This window comes from Homo sapiens, chromosome 1 (assembly GCF_000001405.40).
Source record: "Homo sapiens chromosome 1, GRCh38.p14 Primary Assembly".
In the NCBI taxonomy this organism is placed as follows: Eukaryota; Metazoa; Chordata; class Mammalia; order Primates; family Hominidae; genus Homo; species Homo sapiens.
This window is the reverse complement of record NC_000001.11, coordinates 67,781,701-67,803,809: the sequence shown is the minus strand read 5'-3', so window position 1 is coordinate 67,803,809 and position 22,109 is coordinate 67,781,701. Positions and strand designations below refer to the sequence as shown.

The following is a 22,109-nucleotide window of genomic DNA, read 5'->3' as shown; positions in this document are numbered from 1 at the left end:
CTCTGCTCATGGTTATGATAATTAAACCCTTACCCTGTGTCAGACTTGTGCTAAGTATTCATCTTGCATCATTTACCACTGACTAGTTATGGGACATTGGATATGCTATCTACATTTTCTAAGCATCTCTAAAAAGGGAACATAACTTCGTAAGGTTGTTGTGAAGATAAAAGTAAAATAATGCTCGCAAAGCACTTAACACAGGGCCTGATATGTTGTACACACTCATTATAGATATGGCACAGGAGGCTCACCCATGAAGAAAGGGAGAAAAGTCATTGTCACCACTGTTTCCTCGTGATTTGCTTCTGCAGTCAGTCCTTCCAGGCTGCTGTTCTCTCACTCCTTTTACCGAATCACCTTCCTCCAGATCAGTGCTTCTCAACCTTTTTTTCATTGTCACCATATAAGGAGAAACATTAAGATAAATTAACTTAAAAAAAATTTTTTTTTTAATTTATAGAGATGAGGTCTCACTATGTTGTCTAGGCTGGTCTTGAACTCCCAGCCTCAAGCAATCCTCCTGTCTCAGGCTTCCAAAGTGCTGGGATTATAGGCATGAGCCACTGTGCCCAACCAACTAACTTTAAATTAAAATTTTCTCCCTAATGGGATAAATATCAAGGAATAAAATTTTGGGGATGTAGGATTGAGCTTTGGAGGGCCATAGACCAATGTAATCTAAGAAATGTTTTACTTGTATCCCCTGAGAACCAGCTTCTACTCCCTAGTGGGGGCAATGTCCCTCCAAGGAGAATGCCCACGTTAGACCCCCACCAGTGTTTTCTTTGCGAAATGCACTAGCTTTTTCTGGACTTCATCATTCTTGGTCTCTCTTAACACCTCTTAGCTCCTCTTGCTGCTGCTTCTGTTATAGCTTCATGTCTGCTTTCCTGGCTTCATCAACCATACAACAGGGACTGAGCGTCTGCTGTGTGCAGAGATGTCCAGGACAAGGGTCATGTGTAGGGAGAGAGAGAGACACCCAGCTTTGCTATAGCAGGAAACCAACCAGGGAGTGGTGGGCAGGAGTAAAGTCCAGTGGGAGCCCTGAGAAAGGAATGAACTGAGGCTGTCTAGACAGGGGCAGAGGGTAGTGTGTGTGTGCTGGGGCATAGAGGATGCAGCAGCAGGGCAAAGAGAGGTAGCCTGGGACACTACTGCCTCGGGATGGTGAGAGAGCCCGGGCCTTAAATGATGCTCTCCCTAATGATTTTTTGTTTTGTTTTCCCATAATCTTAATATATGACCTTAAAAATAACAAGTGCCACTTTTTGAGAAACTTTGCTTCTGGGAAAGAGGCAGTGAGAGCAGAGCATGCAGAAGTCTGGAGCCTGAAAGCATGAAATCTCATGGCAGAGCAGCAGGAGTGGCTGGCTGGAGATGGGGCTGTAGAGCCAATATGTGCCTGGCCGACAAGGGTTTGGAACCAATTAAATGGTTTTAAGTAGGTGCGTCCTTTTTGTCTCTCAGATCCTGTTTTCTCTCATTTTTCCATTTGCCCTAATTTACAATATCACATGTCCTGCAAACAATATTGATCTTTCACCCTGTGCCCTTCTTCCTTCATCCATTCCTTCCCTTTAGAGAACCTCCAGGTCTTTGCCCTTTGGTAGCTACAGTACCAGCCTCCTTGGCCCCTTCATATGAGTTCATTCCTCTGGTCACCCAGGCTTGAAATCATGAAATGATCTAATGCCTTTTTCTCATTCTCTGGTCAAGAAACCACAAGCAGGGCTTATAGATTTGCTCTCCCTCTGGCACTGCCCAGGTTCACCCAGGCATTCCACAGATATTTCCTTCCCTCAGCCATATTTCCTCCCCTGTACCTCCCTCCTTTTTCTTCCTCACCCCCCTTCCTTCTTTTTTCCTTCCCCCTTCCCTTCCTTCCTCCCTTTTCTTCCACTTTTTTATAGGCAAAATTTATTGAGCGAAGAACGATGCTGGTTGTCTTGTATACATTTTTTCATTTAAACCTCACAGCAACTCTATGAAATTATAGATTATTATCATCCCATTCTGCAGATACGGAACGTAATAATCATACAGGAAAGGTAATTTCTCCAAATTCACACCGTTAAGCGAGAATTTGGGGAAACCTGTGAGGTCTGACACTCCCCACCAAATTAGGCTTTTTCACTGAGAATGCTGAAATAGGACACAAATTGCTCTCTCCTCTTCCTTTTGTTCTCCACTCCAAGCCATCCCAGGTATCGCTGGGTATAATCTTTCGACAGCACGAATGTACTCATGTTACCGTCTTTATAAAAACTTCTTGGTTCATAGACTAACTGCACCAACATCCAAGCCTCCCACTGTATGGCCTGAGTTTCTATCACTTTGAAGAAATCAGCATGTAGGGAAGCGCATGGGATTTGGTGCCCAAAGACCTGGGTTCAATCCTGTGGCCACCACTTCCTAGCTATGTGACCTTGAACAGATAATTCATTTCTCTGAGCCTCATTCATATATTCATTCAGTGAATATTTATTGTGTGCTTTCCATGTGCTGACCACTGTGTGAGAGTTCCACATATTCATGAGTGAAGAAAATGGGCATGATCCCTGCCTTCCTTGGCAGGGATGCATAGGTGAGGATGATAAGACCCATCTTCTGGGACCGTTTTGAGGAAGCGACAGGTAATTTGCACATAGTACACCTGGCTGTATGGAAGACGCTACTCAACTGAGGTTGTGCTTCTCTGTTCTGCTCTAGGAAAGTTTCCTGCCCATTTCTGGCTCTTTGCTTTGTCTTGTGCTCCTCCTAACCTCCTTTACCTTTAAACATCCAGTGTAGTCTTGGTGGCTCAAACGAAAAGGTCTCCTAGACCTTTCCAGAACCTCCCTCCATAATATGAAGTTACATTTGTTTATTGAGATATTCAAGAACATTTATTAAATACTTTTTAAAACTGTTTTCAGTGTGTGGTACATAGACCCTAGGGGTCTCCATGATCCTTTCAAGGAGTTCACAAGGTCAAGTTTAAAATCATATTAAGATATTATTTGACGTTTTCATTGTGTTGACATTTGGAATGATGTTACAAAAACAGAGGTGGATAAAACTGCTAATTAAACAAGGCAGTAGTAATATCCCTTATCATCACACACTCAAAAAAACCAAAATGCCATTTTCACTTAAGAATGTCCTTGAAGCAGTAAAAATTAAGTCTCATAATTTTGAGAGCACATTTAAAAAATTCTCTGTGACATAATAAGGAAACTAAAGCTCTTCTGCTGGTAATAAAGTATGTCTCAAGGAAAAATGCTTGTGTGATTATTTCAATTGCAAGTTGAACCTGCCATCTTTTCACCTGACACTGCTTTTGCTTGAAAGAATGTCTGACAAGCTCTGATTATTCAGACTTGGATATTTGGCAGACATTTTCTCAAAAAAGAATAGTCTGTCACTTCAAGAAAAATGATTATATTTATTGCTAAAATAATAAAAATTCAAGCCAAACTTGGAATTTTGGAATACTTGTATCTGCCACCATGAGCTTGACCACTTCCCCATATTTCGACTTTGCTGATGAGATCAGGGATGACGTTAATGAGTACATTTTCAATATTGTATAATGTAATGTGTCAACATTTGGAAAACCTGTATAATTCAGTGAACCAATATTTTTCAGTGAACAATGTGTGATGTTAAAAACTCTGCATGGGTTAAAGTTCTGTTCCAATGCAAGAGAGACTAATCAATTTTAATATAGCAGAATACGGGAAGTTCATTGAAAGGATTTCAGCCAGCCTGTAAGAAGCCACTACTTATCAAGTTTTGGTTTAGTTTCAAAGAAGAATATCCACACATACCTTAAAAGACTTTTCATCTGTATCTGTGTGAGGCCAGACTCTTCATACACTAAAACTACAAAAACATGTCACAAAAATTGGATTTAGAAGCAGAAACCAAAAAAAACCAGCTGTCTCCTATTAAAAAGGTGTGCAAAGAGAATTGAAATTAAAGAGATTTACAAAACTGTAAAACAATTTTCACTAAAATTTCTTCTGTTTTGGAAAACATTGTTTTTATAAATGTTTTTGCCAAGATCTAATGAATTTATTACTATTATATTTTAATGGATTAATAAGTATTTTTTAATTTCTCAGTTTCAATTTCTAACAGTATATATCAGATTAAGCTAGTAATTGAAAGCTTTTTGGGATTATCAATTTTTTAGGGTCCTGAGACCAAAAAGTTTGAGAAGTACTATAATAGAACTATCTGTAAACAGTTCTAGTTGCTGGTATACACATGAAAACTAAGTCCTCTAGCAAAGTTTATCCATGAACGTCACTGTGGTCTGGGTTCATTGGCAGTACCTAACTAGATACAAAGTCAGGACAAATAAACATGAAATGATTGTAGAATACTATACAATGCTCTGCTGTTTATGGCCAAGCCTGGGGATTTATTATCCTAAGTACAGTAAAGATGTGAAGAAGAGCAGTTCCCTGGAGAGACAAATAAACGTGTCTGCCATGCCTTATAGCCCCTTCTTAAAAGGCCCAGTTTCTGCTAAGGGAAGCAGACTCAGACTATTTGGTAAAAATGGGTAGCCATGTTCCTAACTATAGTTGACCCTCGAACAACACAGAGTTTAGTGGTTACAACCCCCATGCAATCGAAAATGTATGTATAACTTTTGGCTCTTCAAAAACATTACTATTAATAGCCTGCTGTTGACAAGCCTTATTAATAACATATACAGTCACTTAACACACATTTTGTATGTTATATATATTACATAATGCATTCTTAGACTAAAGTAAGCTAGAGAAACGTATTAAGAAAAGCATGAGGAGAAAATATATTGACTATTTATTTATTTATTTATTTATTTATATTTTTTTTGTGAGACAGCCTTGCTCTGCCGCCAGGCTGGAGTGCAGTGGCATGATCTCGGCTCACTGCAACCTCCACCTCCCGGGTTCAAGCGATTCCTCTGCCTCAGCCTCCCGAGTAGCTGGGACTACAGGCTTGTGCCACCACACCCAGCTAATTTTTTGTATTTTAGTAGAGACGGGCTTTCACTATGTTGGCCAGGATGGTCTCGATCTCCTGACCTTGTGATCCACCCACCTCAGCCAACCGAAGTGCTGGGATTACAGGCGTGGGTCACCGTGCCCAGCCAGATTTACTATTTATTAAGTGGAAGTGGATCATCATAAAGGTCTTCCTCCTCATCATATTCACACTGGGTAGGCTGAGGAGAAGGAGGAAGGGGAGGGGTTTGTCTCGCTGTCTCGGGGTGGCAGAGGGGGATGGGGAGGCAGGAAGACAGGGTAACTTTATGGAAATACATCATAATTTCTGTCTGACCTTTTTCTCTTCCATTTCTCTAAAAATATTTCAATACAGCAGTGGTCCCCAACCTTTTTGGCACCAGGGACCAGTTTCGTGGAAGACGGTTTTTCCATGGCCAGTGGTCACAGAGGGGTTGGGGATGAAACTGTTCCACCTCAGATCATCAGGAGTTAAGTTAGATTCTCATAAGGAGTGTACAACCTAGATTCTGCGCATGCACAGTTCACCATAGGGTTCGTGCTTCCTAAGAAATTGATGCTGCCGCTGAGTCCACAGGAAGCAGAGTTCAGGTGGTACTGCTCGCTTCCTGCCGCTCACCTCATGCTGTGCAGCCCAGTTCCTAACAGGCCACAAACAGACCAGTCCATGCCTGGGAGTTGGGGACCCTTGGTGTAGGGCATTGGAAAGCAAACAGGAGAGGGCAGACTGAGGCAGAAAGTGAAAGGAACCTCCTATAAGTTCTTGAACATGGGAGCAAAAATGGAGTTTGGGCAAGGGTGGGCTAGTTTAATTAGTAGGATGGATCTGAGGAAAGGGCATTTGAGCCAAAGAGGCTGGTTTCAAGACCACCGTGGTCATCCAGTGGTGCCAGTGGAGACGCGTGTCACCTCAGCCCTGTTTACAGTAGAAATTGATAAGCCTGGCCGGTGCAGTCACCTGAGGAAGATCTTGGCTCCGAGGGGATGGTTCTCTCGTTAAATGCTATGTGCCCGCCATGATATGGGTATGTCGTGCCCTGGTTGACTGGAATTGGACTGATGGTTATTTTTTCCATTTCCCATCCTATTTTCTAGGTCAGAACCTCTTCTGGCAAAGTGTAGAGAGTTTAACTGGGAATCATTTGAGTGAAATAAGTTGGGATTTTTCAAAAGTCAGAACTATCACAGCAAGGGACTGTTTTCCCTAAGCTGCACACTGCTAGTTGTCTTCTATGGAGTGAGTGTGGAGGGTTACATTTTATTTTTGTGTAGTTCATACTTGAGTTGTTTGGCTTTCACAGGTGATTTAATTTATGGTTTTGTGCTGCCTGACTTTGAATCTCAGTGTTCAACAAGCCATGGGACTTCTTGCTTCTGAATGGTCTTGTGTGGTACTTGGTGAAGCATTTTGGGAGAGTATTTCCACCTTCCATTGACATACAAAGGGCAGGGGGTCTCTGCCTTTCAAGAACCTGTATCTTAATGGCAGGACAAGTTAGGTATGAGTAGAAAAATAATTTTGGAACTTATTCTGATGAGCATGATTGTCTGTGTTTTATCACTTAATTTTTAACTCATGATGGTATAATCCCATTGAGAATGAGCCAGGGATTGAAATGTGGTTAGCTGAGGTAGGAAGCTGACTATCTGATTTAGTTTGGATGTTTGTCCCCTCCAAATCTCATGTTAAAATGTGATCCCCAATGTTGGAGGTGGGGCCTAGAGGGAGATGTTTGGGTCATGGCAGCAGATCCCTCATAAATAACTTGGTGCCCTCCGCATGGTAATGAGTGAGTTCTCACTTTATTAGTTCACGCAAGAGCTGATTGTTTAAAAGAACCTGACATCTCTCTTGCTGTCTGGCTCACCAAGTGACACACCTGTTCCCCCTTTGCCTTTCACCATGAGTGGAAGCCTCCTGAGGCCCTAACCAGAAGCAGATGCCAGCACTATGCTTCTTATACAGTCTGCAGAACTGTGAGCCCAATAAACCTCTTTTTTTATCTAAATTATCCAGCCTCAAGTATTACTTTATAGCAACACAAAATAAACAACACTACCCCATTTCTATTGACCTTAGCAAAATATTGGCCATTAAGTAATTGACTTTACCTATCTGCACCCCACCTATGAAACACTGATAATTATAATACTTATTTTATAATGTGGACATGAGAGTTACATGAACTAAAGCATAACCCAACTAGTAAATACATATTTATTGAGTGCCTACTATCTGTCATACACTCTGTATTGAGGTCATACTGGAAAACATGATTGACATGAGCTCATAGGAAAGTGCTTACAGACATACCTAGTATGTAGTAAAATAGTCGTACTCGTTGTTATTATTTGAGAAAGGTACACTCAAGTTCAGGAATTCTTTAACGAACCAGAGTTAGCTAAAAGAAAGGTATGGAAATGCAGGCCTCAAGCAGAAAGCATCCTGAGTGTGCCAGTCTCAGCAGGGAATGGTTGTCCTTGAAAAGGAAAGACTGGGTTATCTGAATGTGCAATGTGAAAAGAGTATGTGTGTCGGGCTTTTCACATACACAGCATTCAGACACTGGGGATAATGTAGTATATGTTTAGCCTGACAAATAAATGAATCCAAATAAATAGATATGTTTAGCCTGCCAAATAAATGGATGTCTTTTGTCAGTAGGGCATTTATTTTCATCATAGGCACATAGAAGGCATGGTTTTCTAAATCGGTCACATGTTAAATTGTGAGCCTGCATTTCATAAGAATTCAATAACATCGATCATAAGAAGGGTATGGAGATTAAACAGAAGAGCCAGTTTTCAATTATTAAATTCTGAATTTTAATTGTACCCGTAGGAGAAAGTATTCTTGTGAGTTCAGCTTCACATTCTCATACCATTTAGTTTCCATGTGCATATTTTTGCATAGCTGGAGTTAGTGTATTTATTCTCTGTTGGTCTGCCTGCCTTTGCATCTGACCTTGGTTCATGTTGCCCTTTTCCTGTGTCCTCACACTCCACATCCTTTTTCTTGTAATGGCAATAAAGGAAACTCCTGTGCTGATAAGTGGCCATTGGTTCAACTTTTCATCCAAATACTGGATATTTGGGTTGTTTCCAGCGTTTCACAGATGAGAACATATTTGCTATAAACCTTGTATCCAGAGAGCTTAGTCAGCAGCTTATTAAACACCTTCTGGAATGGGACTCTCTGCCAAGGTTTTTGAAGTGATACCAACTCATTAAATTAAGAGTCCTGAGAACTGGCATTCAGGATTTCCTGAGACAGCATCTTATTCTTTGGCTTATTTTTTCTCATACATTTAATCAGCAGATATGTATGGACGACCTAGTGAGTGCCACAGAGTGTACTCAACACAGGTAAGCAAGATAGAAAAGGTCTCTGACTCGCAGTTCAGACAGCAGCCTGCAGAGGCAAGGTGCGTGCGGTTGAAAAAGAGATCATCATGGTGGGCTGCCATCTTGCAGGCATGGTGTCCGTCAGACTTCTAGGTGGAAAGTGGACCTTTGGTCTGGGTACATCAAATGTCAAGAAAAGGTGCAGTGTAACTAACTGCGGATGGCAGGGTTGGGAACCGTCAAAATTGCAGGATATTAAAAAGCAGTGCAGTTTTTGTTGTTTCCAAATCAGGCCAACAAAGAGATTACTGTTTGAAGCTGCATGGGATAGTAAAAAGCGCAAGGCCTTTGAATTCACACGTCCTAGATTTGAATCCTAACTCTACACTTGTAGACTAGGTTCTAGGAAAAACATTGAAACCCTGTACCCCTGTGTCCTTATCTCTAAAATGGGTATCGTATTTTCTGTACTTTGGGTTGTTTGTATCCACAGTGCTTAGTGAAATGCCTGCCTCAGCAGTTGGTTGTTGTTAGAAAAAAAGAAAAAATGGGTTGGCAGGTAGGTGGGTGGATGGTTGGATGGTTGGTTGGTTGGATAGATGGATGGAGCGACCACTCTGGATTGAGAAAGCCGAAGGGCCTCTGTGCTAAATGATATAAATATAGCTGGAGCAAGTCATACTTGCCCTATAAGCTTGAAGTTTGCTAAACAAAAATTTTCTCAATTCTACGTTAGAGGAGACCAAATTAAGAAGCCTTAAGCCTTTCTTTTGTCATCTTATATATATCAAGACTATAAGTAACAGAAAAGCTGAACTAATTTGGCCCTAACAAGTAGGGAGTTGTTTCTCCACATCTTCATAAAGCTTAGAGGAGGCAGCTGCTTCTGCTGTTTGCCATGAAAGACCTATGCTCTTTTCATCTCTGTGATCCACCGTCTTTATTGTATTAAGTTTTTTAAATTGAGACATGCTTTCTCGTGGTCAGCAAGTGGCCGTCACAGTTCTGTGCCTCATGACCAGTTTCAAAGTTGGGAATCAAGGAGGCATGGATCACACTACCCCTGGCTTTTGTGAGGAAGCAGAATCCTTCCCCAGCATTCTCCTGTCATCTCCCCTCAGGCCTCATTGGAGTGAGCAGGGCAAAGACCCACCCTTAAACTACAGCTCCCATCTCTCCTGAGCTCACAGGGTCTCTATTCCAACAAGCCCAGGTTCTGCTAGCAAGGAGATGTTGAGGACTCTCTGGTGGATGGACAACCTTAGGTTGGCCACATTTTCACAAAAGTAATAAGCGGGAAGCAAAAGCAGACATTAAAGTTTAGTGGATATGGTTTACTTGTAAGACTTTATTATCTGGGTTAAGGGATTCAGGATTTGCGAGCCCCCATTTGGTGCCTTAAGATTCTGTTTATGCTGAGGAGAAAGGTTTTTGTGCCTGTTATGTCTCTCTATGAGAGTTTATCCCCCCTCCTCCGTTTTGGATGGCAAAAGAAAAGAGTAAACGAATTCAAAAGAGAAATATTTTCTGGAGTCAAGTGGTGGGCCTCTAAAAAGCTGCAACAGTGACTAATGCCAGAAACTGTGTGCTGAAACTGGTCAAAGAACTGTTAACAAAATACTTCCCCAACAAAGTGAGTGAAGAGAAAAACATGTGAAACAGTGTTTGAGGAAGGAGGGGACAGGGAGGAGGGCTGGCAGTGAAGCTTTGCAAAAGAGTGCAGGAATTTGGGGGTCATTCAGAATGTCACCAGTGTGGGGTTTATGTTGGCTCTTCCCAAGTTCATTATTCAGAGAACAGCGGAAGAAAGCCACTTGCACAGCCCGAGAGGGATGCAGACTGCAGTGGAATTAAGTCCAGAGTTAAACTGCACAAGCACAACATTCTAGGAGGCCAGATTTGTAGTTTAAAAAAAAAAAAAATCAAAGTGCTTGACTTGAATGACCAAATACTTAGTATTTGATATCTACCGTTTTCTTCTTTTGGACAAACCACCTAACAAGTTAAATTCCCAAACAATTGAATAGGATTTCACATCACAAAGATCAAAATTTTTAAGCTTTAAAGAAATACATGGAAATCAAAGTTCACCAAGACTTGCAGATGATTTATTGCATTTTATTTATTAAAGAGGTAAAAGGGCAGAACTGATACCCATCTGTGTTTTCTATTTATGTTATCACTAATGTTAGAATTTGACCAGATCTTTGAACTAAGCTGAGTCTGACTTATTTCTCAAATGAGTCAGGATTAAGAATATCCTATTTTTACACAATGATTCCAAAGTCTTATATATAAAAGATCCAGAAAGATTATGCTTCAAGAAAAGGAGAAAAGACACAGGAGACAATTTCCAGTTGACTGAACTCTCTGAAGCTGAGGTTTGCTAAGAGTCCAAGGTGGAATTCACAGAGTGACATTGGTCTCTGTGGGGTGGTATTCACTGTCACACTGGGAAAATGTCAGAGGCTGGGAGAACGACTGTCCCCTGGGAGCTAACTCTGTCCACTGAGTGTGTCATGATAAATGGGTTTCATTCATGAAGGAAACACTGCTCTTCTGAAAAGCACCAATACTGGCCAGGCAGCCAGAAAACCCAAATATATTGGAGACTCCTGGCAGAAGGGGCCTGAACTCCCTTCTAGTCTCTTCCAAGGAGTTGTCTTAATATTCCACAGTGTTTTCTGTGGCTGCTAGGCCCAAACTGCATGGAACCATACAACAAAAGTTGTGTGGCAAACTACTTGGCATTGAAATCTGAGCCAGCCTTATTCAGATACAACTGGAGGGGAGAAAAACTGCCACTACCACAAATAAGGCAGACAATGTCTTTATTAGCTTAATTCTGCAAGCATTTTTTAAAGGTAATAAAGCCTTGAGGCTTTAGTTAGAGGCAAAAGACTACAGAACATGCCAGATGCTTAGTAAAAATTCAGAATGTAGCCATGAGGTTTTATATATCAAAACACCCCAATGGGCAGATACCAGAATCTAGGGGGTAAGGCATACGTAGTTTAAAAATCATGCCTTATCTTATGATTCACTTGGGGAAAGAGGAAATGTTTATTTTTATAATACGAACATCAGAAAAATCAAGTTCAATAAAATATTTCTGGCCAGTTGAGAATATGCATTCATTCAGTAACCAAAAAATGTGTATTTTTTCTTGAATGCCTAGCCTGTGTCAGGCATTGCCTCAGGCACTGGGAGTGCAACGGTAAACAAACAACATCCTTTTCTTACGGCATTGACATTCCAGTGAAGGAGAGGGAATAATTCAATAGATAGAAAATAGAGTGCCAGGAAGGGGGAAGGGGTACGTACCAAGAAGAAAAGCAAAGCAGAGTCTGGGAAGAGAGAGTAGGGCCTTTCTGAGGAGATAACGCTTGACCCAGAGACCTGAAAGAAGTGAGGCAGTGAGATGTGCAGGCCTGCAGTGTCTGTGAGAAGTTTAAGCAGAAGGAAGAACCTGTGTCAAGGCCCCAAGACAGAGCATTGCTTGGCAGATTTAAGGAGAAGAGGGGTTAGTGTGGCTGGATAGAGTGAGCCAAGGCCAGTTCTCATAGCTGCTGATGGGCCAAGGAGTGGACGTGAGTAAGTGTGTTAAGTATGCTGAGAATCTGTTGGAGAGTTTTGAGCTAGGGAATAATGACTGATGGAAACTAGATGGGGGGTTGAGGAGGGAAGCAAGTGTGAAGCCCAGATCAGCAGAGGGAACTCTTTAAGTCATCCAGGCGAGAGATGCTGCTAGTTTGCCCAGATGGGAGCAGAGGAGATGCCAACGCATGATTGGATTCTGGAGGTATTTTGAAGGTAGGGCTGACAGGATTTGCTGATTGATGGGATATGCAGTTGGTGAGAAAGGAGCCAAAAATGAATGAAGATTTTGACTTGAACAAGGGCATGAATGATGGAGTCCTACTGGTACCATTGATGTCCCCTGGGAGCCCCAAGAAGGGAGAGCAGTGTGGGAGATGATTGTGGCCAAGGCACAATTGTTTGTGATGCCTTACTAAGCATCCTAGGGGAGATGTTAAGAAATCAGTCAGACAAGTAAGTCTGACGTTCAAAGAGCAAGCTGAGACTGGAGATAGAGATTTGAGAGTCATCAGATTTGAGGAAGAGGAGAGAATTCAGCAAAGGAGACTGAAAATACATATCACAGTTTGCTAAGACACCTAAGGATGGGTATATCAGAATCTGATTAGGGAACATAAGGTTATCAGAAATGAGTGTGAATTTTAAAAGATTAAGAAAAACTGTATTTACATCATCATATCCACAATTGTTCCTGGAATTAGGAGATACATGTTCACAGGAGTAAAAGCTGGCTTTGACAAATAAGATAAATAGAACTGAATTTCAGAATTAACTCTTGTGTTACCCTTCCCCTGAGCCACTATGAACATTTCAGTTTTAGAAAATTAGATATAAATAAGTACATCCAGAGTGTGTTTTTCATTTATGAAAAATCTAGGGCGCTTCAAGTAAAGAAATAATCCTTGTGGGAAGGAAAACAAATACATATAGGAATAAAGTATGGGCTGGGCATGGTGCCTCACACCTGTAATCCCAGCACTTTGAGAGGCCAAGGCGGGTAGATCACGAGGTCAGGAGTTGGAGATCAGCCTGACAAACATGGTGAAACCTTGTCTCTACTAAAAATACAAAAATTAGCCAGACGTGGTGGTGGCGGCACACGCCTGTAATCCCAGCTACTCAGGAGGCTGAGGCAGGAGAATTGCTTGAACCCGGGAGGCAGAGGTTACAGAGAGCCGAGATAGTGCCACTGCATTCCAGCCTGAGCAACAGAGCGAGATTCCATCTCAAAAAAAAAAAAAAAAAGGAATAAACTATGGCCTATGCAGTCAGGGGACCTTACGATCAAGTTGTCGATGCAGATACATAAATACATCACCAACAGGGGATCTGAGGAAAAGGGATAGGCACAGAAGTGGCTGATTTGACAGATAGAACGTTATTGAATGCCCTGAGCTGCCTTTAAATCTCCCTGCTGTGGTATAGTGGATGACAGATTTTTTTTCTTGGCTCTGGGTTTTTTTGGCTAGTACAATGATTATATGCTTGTATATTTCCCTAAACGCTGGGCAGCAGATTGTTTGTGTAGTTCAGAATGTATGTAAAAATGTATGTAAAATGGAAAGATCTGTAAGGATGCCTGGTGGAGGCGGGGGTGCAAACTAATATTACAATAGAGGCAGCAAAGGTGGCTTTACCCAGGAAGCAGGTGGTAGGTATAAGAACAGGTGGGTTGTACTGGATATGCTGGTTTTCTTCAGAATTGTCTTCCTGTTGAGTTGTGGCTTTGAGTGGACTGTGTTGAACACATTTGAGTGTTTTGTTTTTGTTTTTTAATAAGCTGTTGATCTCTTGATGATACAGGAAAAGATGAGCAAGTCCTTAGAATCTGTATATCTTACTTCTTTGGTTTTCGATGACAGAAAAATTTCTTTGCTAATCCATATTTTGGTAGCTAGAGTTTAAGACTAAACTATTCTGCGGAGTCAAAGCCCCAAAACTAGCATGGGATACTTTATAGCACACCCACCTCACACATCTGTGAATGTGCAGGTCTTGGAGGGAGGCTCACAGCCTCACCTGAGGAGCACTTCTCATTTTCTTCCTCTGAGTCCAAGGCCTGGGGAAGTGCGCTCATCTACACCAAAGGTCTGGCAGAGTGGAAACAAACCCTTCCGGCTCTTGTTTTTCTGATCCAGGCTCAGGGCAGTGCCCTTGGCTGCATCCTGCCCGATTGTGCCGCCTGACTCTGTAGCAGACATAACCTGAATATGTCTGCTGTGATTCTATCTATGTCTGATGCAAAGGTGTCGGCAAAAAGAGTAATAGCTTTAGAGAACTAAGCCTCATGGGCAAAATGTTTATTGTCAACATATAGCAAAATCTCAGTTACCTTGACTACTCCAATAAAACCGGAACTTTTAGAGGAATCATAGTTATATCATCAGTAAAAAATACTGCTAAATTTTACTCTTAATTTTTTTTTAGTTTTCTAAGGCTAATGAAAAGTGTTTTTAATATAGTTCCATTCAAATACAATTAGATGTTAGAAATATCTTTTCATCGAAAGCTAACCAAAAATGTGTTAGAAATCATTGTTTTTTTCTGAAAAAGATTCTAAGGCACATGTCCTCATCCATTCCTATGTCAGGATTCTCACCAAAGAGCATTAGCCTGGATGACGTTTCCTGAGCTTCCTGGGGGGATGCCTTTTGAATCGGGACTTAATAGCGGGCCCTTGGTCTTACCATTGAAGTCTTTCTGCATCTTCTGCAGACCGAAGGCCATGTCGCCTATTTTATTCATTACCACCCTTGTAAGGAAAGGACTGCTCTTGAAGAGCTTTTCCTTCCTTTTATTGGACAAGAACTGTGTGCCTCAGCTCTGAGCTCCCGCTGCTTTAGTCAACAGCACTGTAGCAAAAGCACAAGTATAGCCTTTATCTCATTCACTGTCCTCATCATTTTCTTTTTCGTAGTTCTGTATGGTCCCACCATCATTCATTCTATAAAGATTTGTCAGCCACTCTCTGCCTGTCAGATATTGCCACAAAGTAATATCCTTTTGTGACTGTATTTATTGGAAACTATAGTGCATTCTTGTTGTCTTCTAAACCTTCTTAAATCTGTCGAACAGTAAGAATGTAAGCCATTGCAATAAGTAAGGCATGGTAGAATTCCTAGTTAACAAAGATACATGAAAATGTGTATACTACTCTTCGTGTGTAAGTAAACTAATTTATTTTAGGAAGATTTTCAATGTCAAAAGTTAAAGCTGGCCAGGCACAGTGGTTCATGCCTTAAATCCTTATGCTTCGGGAGGCCAAGGCAGAAGAATGGCTTGAGGCCAGGAGATTAAGACCAGCCTGGAAAACGTAGCAAGACACTATCTCCTTAAAAAAAAAAAAATACAAAAACTAGCTGGGTGTGGTGAAGTGCCCCTGTAGTCCCAGCTACCAGGGAAACTCAAGAGGATTGTGTGAGCCCAGGAGGTAGGGGCTGCAGGGAACTGTGACCTGATCGCACCACTATACTCCAGCCTGAGTGACAGAATCAGACACTGTCTCAAAACAAAACAAAACAAAACAAATCAAAAAAGTTAAAGCTGAAAGATATTTGGTTAACTTTCAGTTAACAACAACAACAACTAATTTCAGACCACTCTTCTGGCTAGTTGCTGTGAAGTATGCAATTATTTGACGTTAGCACACAGATAGTAATCACTAAGCCCTCAGCTAGGCTTTTGCTTTGCAAATATTATTCAGTGTAAATTATGGCAAATTATATAGGAGCCTTTGAGAAGCCACTAAGCTATTCCAAAAGGTTCCGTGGTTCAAAGGATTCAAGTTAGCTTGGGGAGGTCAGTCACATGTAACTTTGCACCAGTTCCTATACAAAAACCTGTGTCATAAATCCCATTGCCCACTTCATGTGCCTCACAAACTCTGAGTAGGCTGACCAACCATCTTGGCTTGCATGGCACTGAGGGGATTCCTGGGACATGAGACTTTCAGTACAAAAACTGGGAAGTCCCAGGCAAAGCAAGATGAGTTGGTTTTTCCTAGTCAGAAGCTGGATCAATCAATAGAAAGGAATATTGATAAATACTGTCTTCTAAAAACAGCAACTTACCTGTAAAATGGAAATAATTCTGCCGTCCTCTTAGGGTTGTGAATAAGGCCTGCTCACTCTTCCTTTCTGTTGGGTTGGGTAGCTGGCTATTGGTTTTTCCTGTGAATTGGAAACCAGCATTGACTCTGATGAGGTTGTAGCCATGGTACAATTTATCTTCTTGCCCTCTCTCTAGAGGTCTATTACCTAAAAGGGCCTTGGCTGTCCCCCCTGTCAGTGCTCTTTCTGATGTGAAGATGCTAGAGATTCTGGGTCATTTCCGTTGGTCCTGTGGTTTTCACTACAGTTACCTCCTTTAGGTTTTGCCTGACTATTGCCTATTTGTTAATAAGGACTCCACTTGAGAACTCTTTGCTTGACTATTGCCTGTTAGTTTAATAGGACTCCACTAGAGAACTCTTTGCCCCAGTGCACCAAGCTCTTTGCATCCTTAGGGACTCACTTCCTCTCAGGCCTTGGCACAAGCTGTTCCCTCTACCTTACTTGTACCTCCCTCCTTTCCTCTTGTGGTAAACCCTGGTCATTCTGTACAGTTTAGCTTCCACACTGCTTCCTCCTGGAAGCCTTCTATGATCATTCCAGACTGGCATAAGTGTCCCCTGTGTTCTCAGAGTTAGTTGTACTTACTGCGATTAGATTATGTGCCACTGGAGCTATGGTGGCCTCGTGAGTTGTTTATATGACTTACTGTGGGTTCCTTGAGGAGGGGGACTATACACACACACACACACACACACACACACACACACTTATACACATACATATATACACACACACAGATATACACATATATATACATACACACACACACACACACACACACACACACACACACACACACACACACACATATATATATAAGTCTCTGTTACCTAGGCTGGAGTGCAGTGGCTCAATATCTGCTCACTGCAACCTCCACCTCCCAGGTTCAAGCAGTTCTCCTGCTTCAGCCTCCCAAGTAGCTGGGAGTACAGGCACGTGCCATCATGCCTGGCTAGTTTTTTTTGTTGTTGTTTTTGTATTTTTAGTAGAGATGGGGTTTCACTATGTTGCCCAGGCTGGTCTCGAACCCCTGACCTCAAGTGATCCACCCACTTAGCCTCCCAGAGTGCTGGTATTACAGGCGTGAGCTACTGCATCTGGCCCAGAGAGGGACTAAATTTTGTTCTCTGTTTTGTCTCTACCACCTTCCACATTGCCAAACACATAGTAGGTTCAGAGACACTCACAAGCAGCAGGATGGTGGAAGAGCCAACAAGCTACAAACCCTCTTCCTCTACAGTTTTCTTTGGCCTTGCTCTGTGGCTGTCTGTCATTGTCCCTCCAGTTCTCCTTGGGAGACACAGCTATGCTAGATCTTTCTCAAAAGAGCCCCATCCTCTCTATCTGGGGACCACCGTCCAATTTAGTGTTAGGTCTTAATTTGTCCCACAAGGCACTGGGCATGTTATGGAAATAGACACGAAACAGCTAACCTCAACTGCCAAGGGTTACATAAATATCAGTGGGGAGACACAGAATCTGAAAGTATTGTATAGGCTGGGGTATTCAGTTTTGTTTATTGGTATATACATGGAATAAAAATATTTCTACTGGTAACATATTTCAATAAAATGTTAAATCATCCCCACTTTTGAAGATCTCATGGCTCACAGGCTATACTGTATTAAATTCTGAATTTTGGATGTTTTCATTTCATAATTTGATCCAGATTATTTTTCTCCCTAGTTAACATTAATCATTTCCTGTGAATTTTCCTAGTATTAGGAAACAGATGTCCCATATTTTTATCTGAGTTTTTCCCAAATGCTGACCAAGACTTTAGTACTTGTGTGCTGTGTGTGTGTCTGTGTTGTGTACACAGAGAATTTTTGAGAAATAAGTTTTATCTGAATTTGCAAATAAAAGCATCACAGATATAGTTACATATTTATACAGATTTGTACATGGTTGGAAACATTCTTAGACATTCTGTTTAATGTAGTTTAGTATCGTTTGGCTAATGCAGACTTCCAGCCTAAGAATGCATTAGAAGTGTCTCATGATAGTATGCTTGCCAAAGTAAGGAATGGTGTAGCAAAGAGAATACAGTTAGTGCAACCTGTACTTTAATGCTCTTATTTTAATTACATTTTTTAAAAAACTGTTGTCTCTTAACTATGTAAAATTCTTCTCCCATATCTCTGTAAAACATCGAACGAGTGCTCCTCCATGCAGAGAAAGATGCCAGGTGATTTAGGAGATACAACTAAAATATGGACCACTGGTACCTTACCACCCAGTCAGAGAAGTGCAACACATTCCCAAATATCTGTGATAAAAAGTAGGAGGTAGAAAAGGTTGTAGAAATTCTAAGAGAAGAGTGGTTTCATTGAGCCAAAGAATAAGGGAATACTTGGGAGAAGAAGTGGTATTTTTGCCAGGTAAAAAATAATAATAATAATCAAGTAAAACTTAATTTAGGTTTAAATTATTTAAATTATTTTGCCTGTATAAAAAACTGTGTGAGGGTGGATCCGTTTTGTGAGCCATTGTTATAGTAAATTTGCTGAAATAATGCTAACATTTCTTGAGATCCTCCAGTGAAGTAAACATGGTTCTCTGATGCTGTGTGTAAAGGCTTTCTTATAGGAAACAATATAGAATTGGTGCTGTGATAATAATCCATTTTGCACAAAATACTTCTCTTCACTTTTACCTTGCAAGCTTCCTTTCACAAGGGGTCCTGTGACTCAGAGAAAGAGGGATTCAGAGTCTGGTTGTGGCCAGCTGCAGGATTCAGTGATCCTGTCTCAGTCACCTGGCCTGTTTGGATCTGTTTTCTCTGCCGTACAGGCAACATTGTTATACTCCCCAGCTCATTCACAGGGTTGCTATGATGATCAGCGTGGATATAAATTGACTTTGAGACACAATCAAAAGCCAAACATTTTGCCAAGAAGCAATATCATAGCTCTTGAGTAAGTTTATACAAAATATAGCTGTGACACATTATTTATGAAATGCTATATAAGTGAAAAGATACTTATCTTAAAATTGCGTAAGTTTTGGGAATCTATTTGTAGCAAATGCATATATTACCTGTTGATTACTGTGCGCTATAAAGAACTTATTCAAACTTACAAGAAAAACATCAGGATCATAGTATACGAATAACCAAAAAATATAAAATTAATTGTTTTTCGAGGTGACACACCATTAATAAACAAACATGTAAAAATGTTGATCCTAATGATCTTACAAATACAAAATAAAAGTCTTTTTTTTTAATAGAAATTGGCAAACTGCTTTTATTATTTATTTTTATTTTTTTAATTTTTTTATTATTTAAGTTTTAGGGTACATGTGCACATTGTGCAGGTTAGTTACATATGTATACATGTGCCATGCTGGTGCGCTGCACCCACTAACTCGTCATCTAGCATTAGGTATATCTCCCAATGCTATCCCTCCCCCCTCCCCCCACCCCACAACAGTCCCCAGAGTGTGATGTTCCCCTTCCTGTGTCCATGTGATCTCATTGTTCAATTCCCACCTATGAGTGAGAATATGTGGTGTTTGGTTTTTTGTTCTTGTGATAGTTTACTGAGAATGATGATTTCCAATTTCATCCATGTCCCTACAAAGGACATGAACTCTTCATTTTTTATGGCTGCATAGTATTCCATGGTGTATATGTGCCACATTTTCTTAATCCAGTCTATCATTGTTGGACATTTGGGTTGGTTCCAAGTCTTTGCTATTGTGAATAGTGCCGCAGTAAACATACATGCACATGTGTCTTTATAGCAGCATGATTTATAGTCCTTTGGGTATATACCCAGTAATGGGATGGCTGGGTCAAATGGTATTTCTAGTTCTAGATCCCTGAGGAATCGCCACACTGACTTCCACAATGGTTGAACTAGTTTACAGTCCCACCAACAGTGTAAAAGTGTTCCTGTTTCTCCACATCCTCTCCAGCACCTGTTGTTTCCTGACTTTTTAATGATCGCCATTCTAACTGGTGTGAGATGGTATCTCATTGTGGTTTTGATTTGCATTTCTCTGACGGCCAGTGATGATGAGCATTTTTTCATGTGATTTTTGGCTGCATAAATGTCTTCTTTTGAGAAGTGTCTGTTCATGTCCTTCGCCCACTTTTTGATGGGGTTGTTTTTTTCTAGTAAATTTGTTTGAGTTCATTGTAGATTCTGGATATTAGCCCTTTGTCAGATGAGTAGGTTGCAAAAATTTTCTCCCATTTTGTAGGTTGCCTGTTCACTCTGATGGTAGTTTCTTTTGCTGTGCAGAAGCTCTTCAGTCTTAATACTATTTTATGTATAAAATATGAAGATCTCAGGAACTGTGCATTATTTTGCTGGTGATATTATTGTATGCTAATAAAAACCCTTTTAAAAGCAAAAACCAGTAATTTCACCGTTAGGAATTTAGAGAAGCCAGAGAAATAAGATAAAAGAATGAAAAAGCTAAGCCATGAAGATGTCCATTGTAATCATGTTTGTGATAATAAAAACTGGCAGTAACTTAACTATCCAGCATTAGGGGATTGATTTAGGAAATTGTGGCTTTTCAACATGAAACACTTATGTCTATGTGTAGAAATACTGAAATATTTGAAATGAAATTTTAGAAAGAAATAGTAGCCATAATTCATGGAGTTCGTCCTAGTGGCACTGTGCTAAGATTTTCTTTTTTTATCCTTACAGCAAGTATATACAAAAGGTAATATTAGCCCTATTTTACACTTTAGGAAATTGAGGACTAGAGATAAATTGTTCAAGGACTTGCATCTCATTAGTTGAGGATCCGACATTCAAACCTAGATCTGTCCAATTTCAAAGCCTTTACTACTAATAGCATATAAACTATGGCCATAGTAACATAAAAACACATGTTTCTATCAAAGGTAACATGCAAAAATAAATAGCAGCACTAGACTGCTGGAAATATGGGTAAATTCCAAAGAAGCTTGCCATCCTTTTAAAACTGCCATTGTCCTTTCAGTACAAAAATGGGGAAAAAATTATGTTGAGTGTAACATTTCAATTTCTTGTTTACTCTTTTTCACTTATTCTCTTAAAGTGTGATGAAATAGGAATCTATGTGTATTTTTTTAAAATTTATACTGTCTTTGGCATTATCAGAATACTTTTCCCCCAACTTATCTGCAAGTTAGTTGAGTACATATACCACCAGTTCCTCAATTAAAAACAAAACTTTGTCTTCAGAAGCTCTCTGTGGATTAGGACAGTAACCAGGTAAAAAGAATTTCTCCTGATGAACAGCTTAGACCAGCTCTTCCAGCCAGGAGCCAGTCCCAAGGTGGAGATAATGGGGTGGTACCATTTGGTTAAAATAGGCCAGTTCAACCTTTCGGGGTGTACCATTCTCTGGGACAGAAGCCGTTGTACAATGGGGCAAAATGCCAGCATTTTAACCCACTGTTTTTAACCTTTGGAGCTCAAGAATGAATTTATAATTCTTTGACACATATAGTATTACTTTACAAAGTTGGTAGCCCTCCAAACATCTAATAAAGACAAATTTGTAGGATAGACTTAAAGCATAGGATATATTTCCCTCAACTATGCCCCAATTTTGTGGAGAATTTACCTTTTATCCCTACAGTAGTGTCCTTTATGTGTGTCAAAAGCCCTTTTACATCTGTTTTGCCTTTTGAGATAACATCATATCAGAATTTGCAAGTGAAACCATATAGTACCTGTGCTGTTGCATAGAGTAGCTGCCTCTGTGGCTGCTTGGCCACTTGAAATGTGGCTCATACAACTGGGGAAGTGAGTTTTTAATTGTATTTAAATTTAAAGACCCACATGTACCTATTATTGGACAGTATGGTTCTAGACTTCTTAATGCTTTCTTGACATCCCCCCTTGGATGTCTCAAAGTTAACTAGATCACATCAGAATTCTTGATTTTTTTCTTCCGTCAATCTGTTTTCTCCCTGAGTAAATGAAACCATCATTGACCAAGTTGCTTGACTCCCTGTATCCACTTCATCAGCAAGTCTTAATTGTTTTACCTCCAGAACCTATACTGAATTCATCTACTTCTCTCCATCTGA

The 22,109-nt window shown here is 40.5% G+C and overlaps 1 protein-coding gene and 1 long non-coding RNA gene across 5 annotated transcripts in view, besides 1 other annotated feature; one reads left to right on the top strand and one right to left on the bottom strand.

Moving 5' to 3' along the window:
* Positions 1-22,109, top strand: part of GNG12 (G protein subunit gamma 12) — a 131,993-nt gene that overhangs the window by 29,658 nt on the left and 80,226 nt on the right. The gene's annotated exons all lie outside the window — the stretch shown is intronic.
* Positions 9,890-10,184: a silencer, noted in NCBI's record as "tiled region #6160; HepG2 Repressive non-DNase unmatched - State 22:ReprW". NCBI's record gives its function as "represses a minimal TATA promoter and a strong SV40 promoter by Sharpr-MPRA in HepG2 cells {active_cell/tissue: HepG2}" and the evidence as "EXISTENCE:reporter gene assay evidence [ECO:0000049][PMID:27701403]".
* Positions 20,341-22,109, bottom strand: part of LOC105378781 (uncharacterized) — a 28,722-nt gene continuing 26,953 nt past the window's right edge. The window contains exon 4 of the long non-coding RNA XR_007066163.1: positions 20,341-20,415. This is a non-coding gene — a long non-coding RNA (uncharacterized LOC105378781). The remainder of the gene's footprint in view (positions 20,416-22,109) is intronic.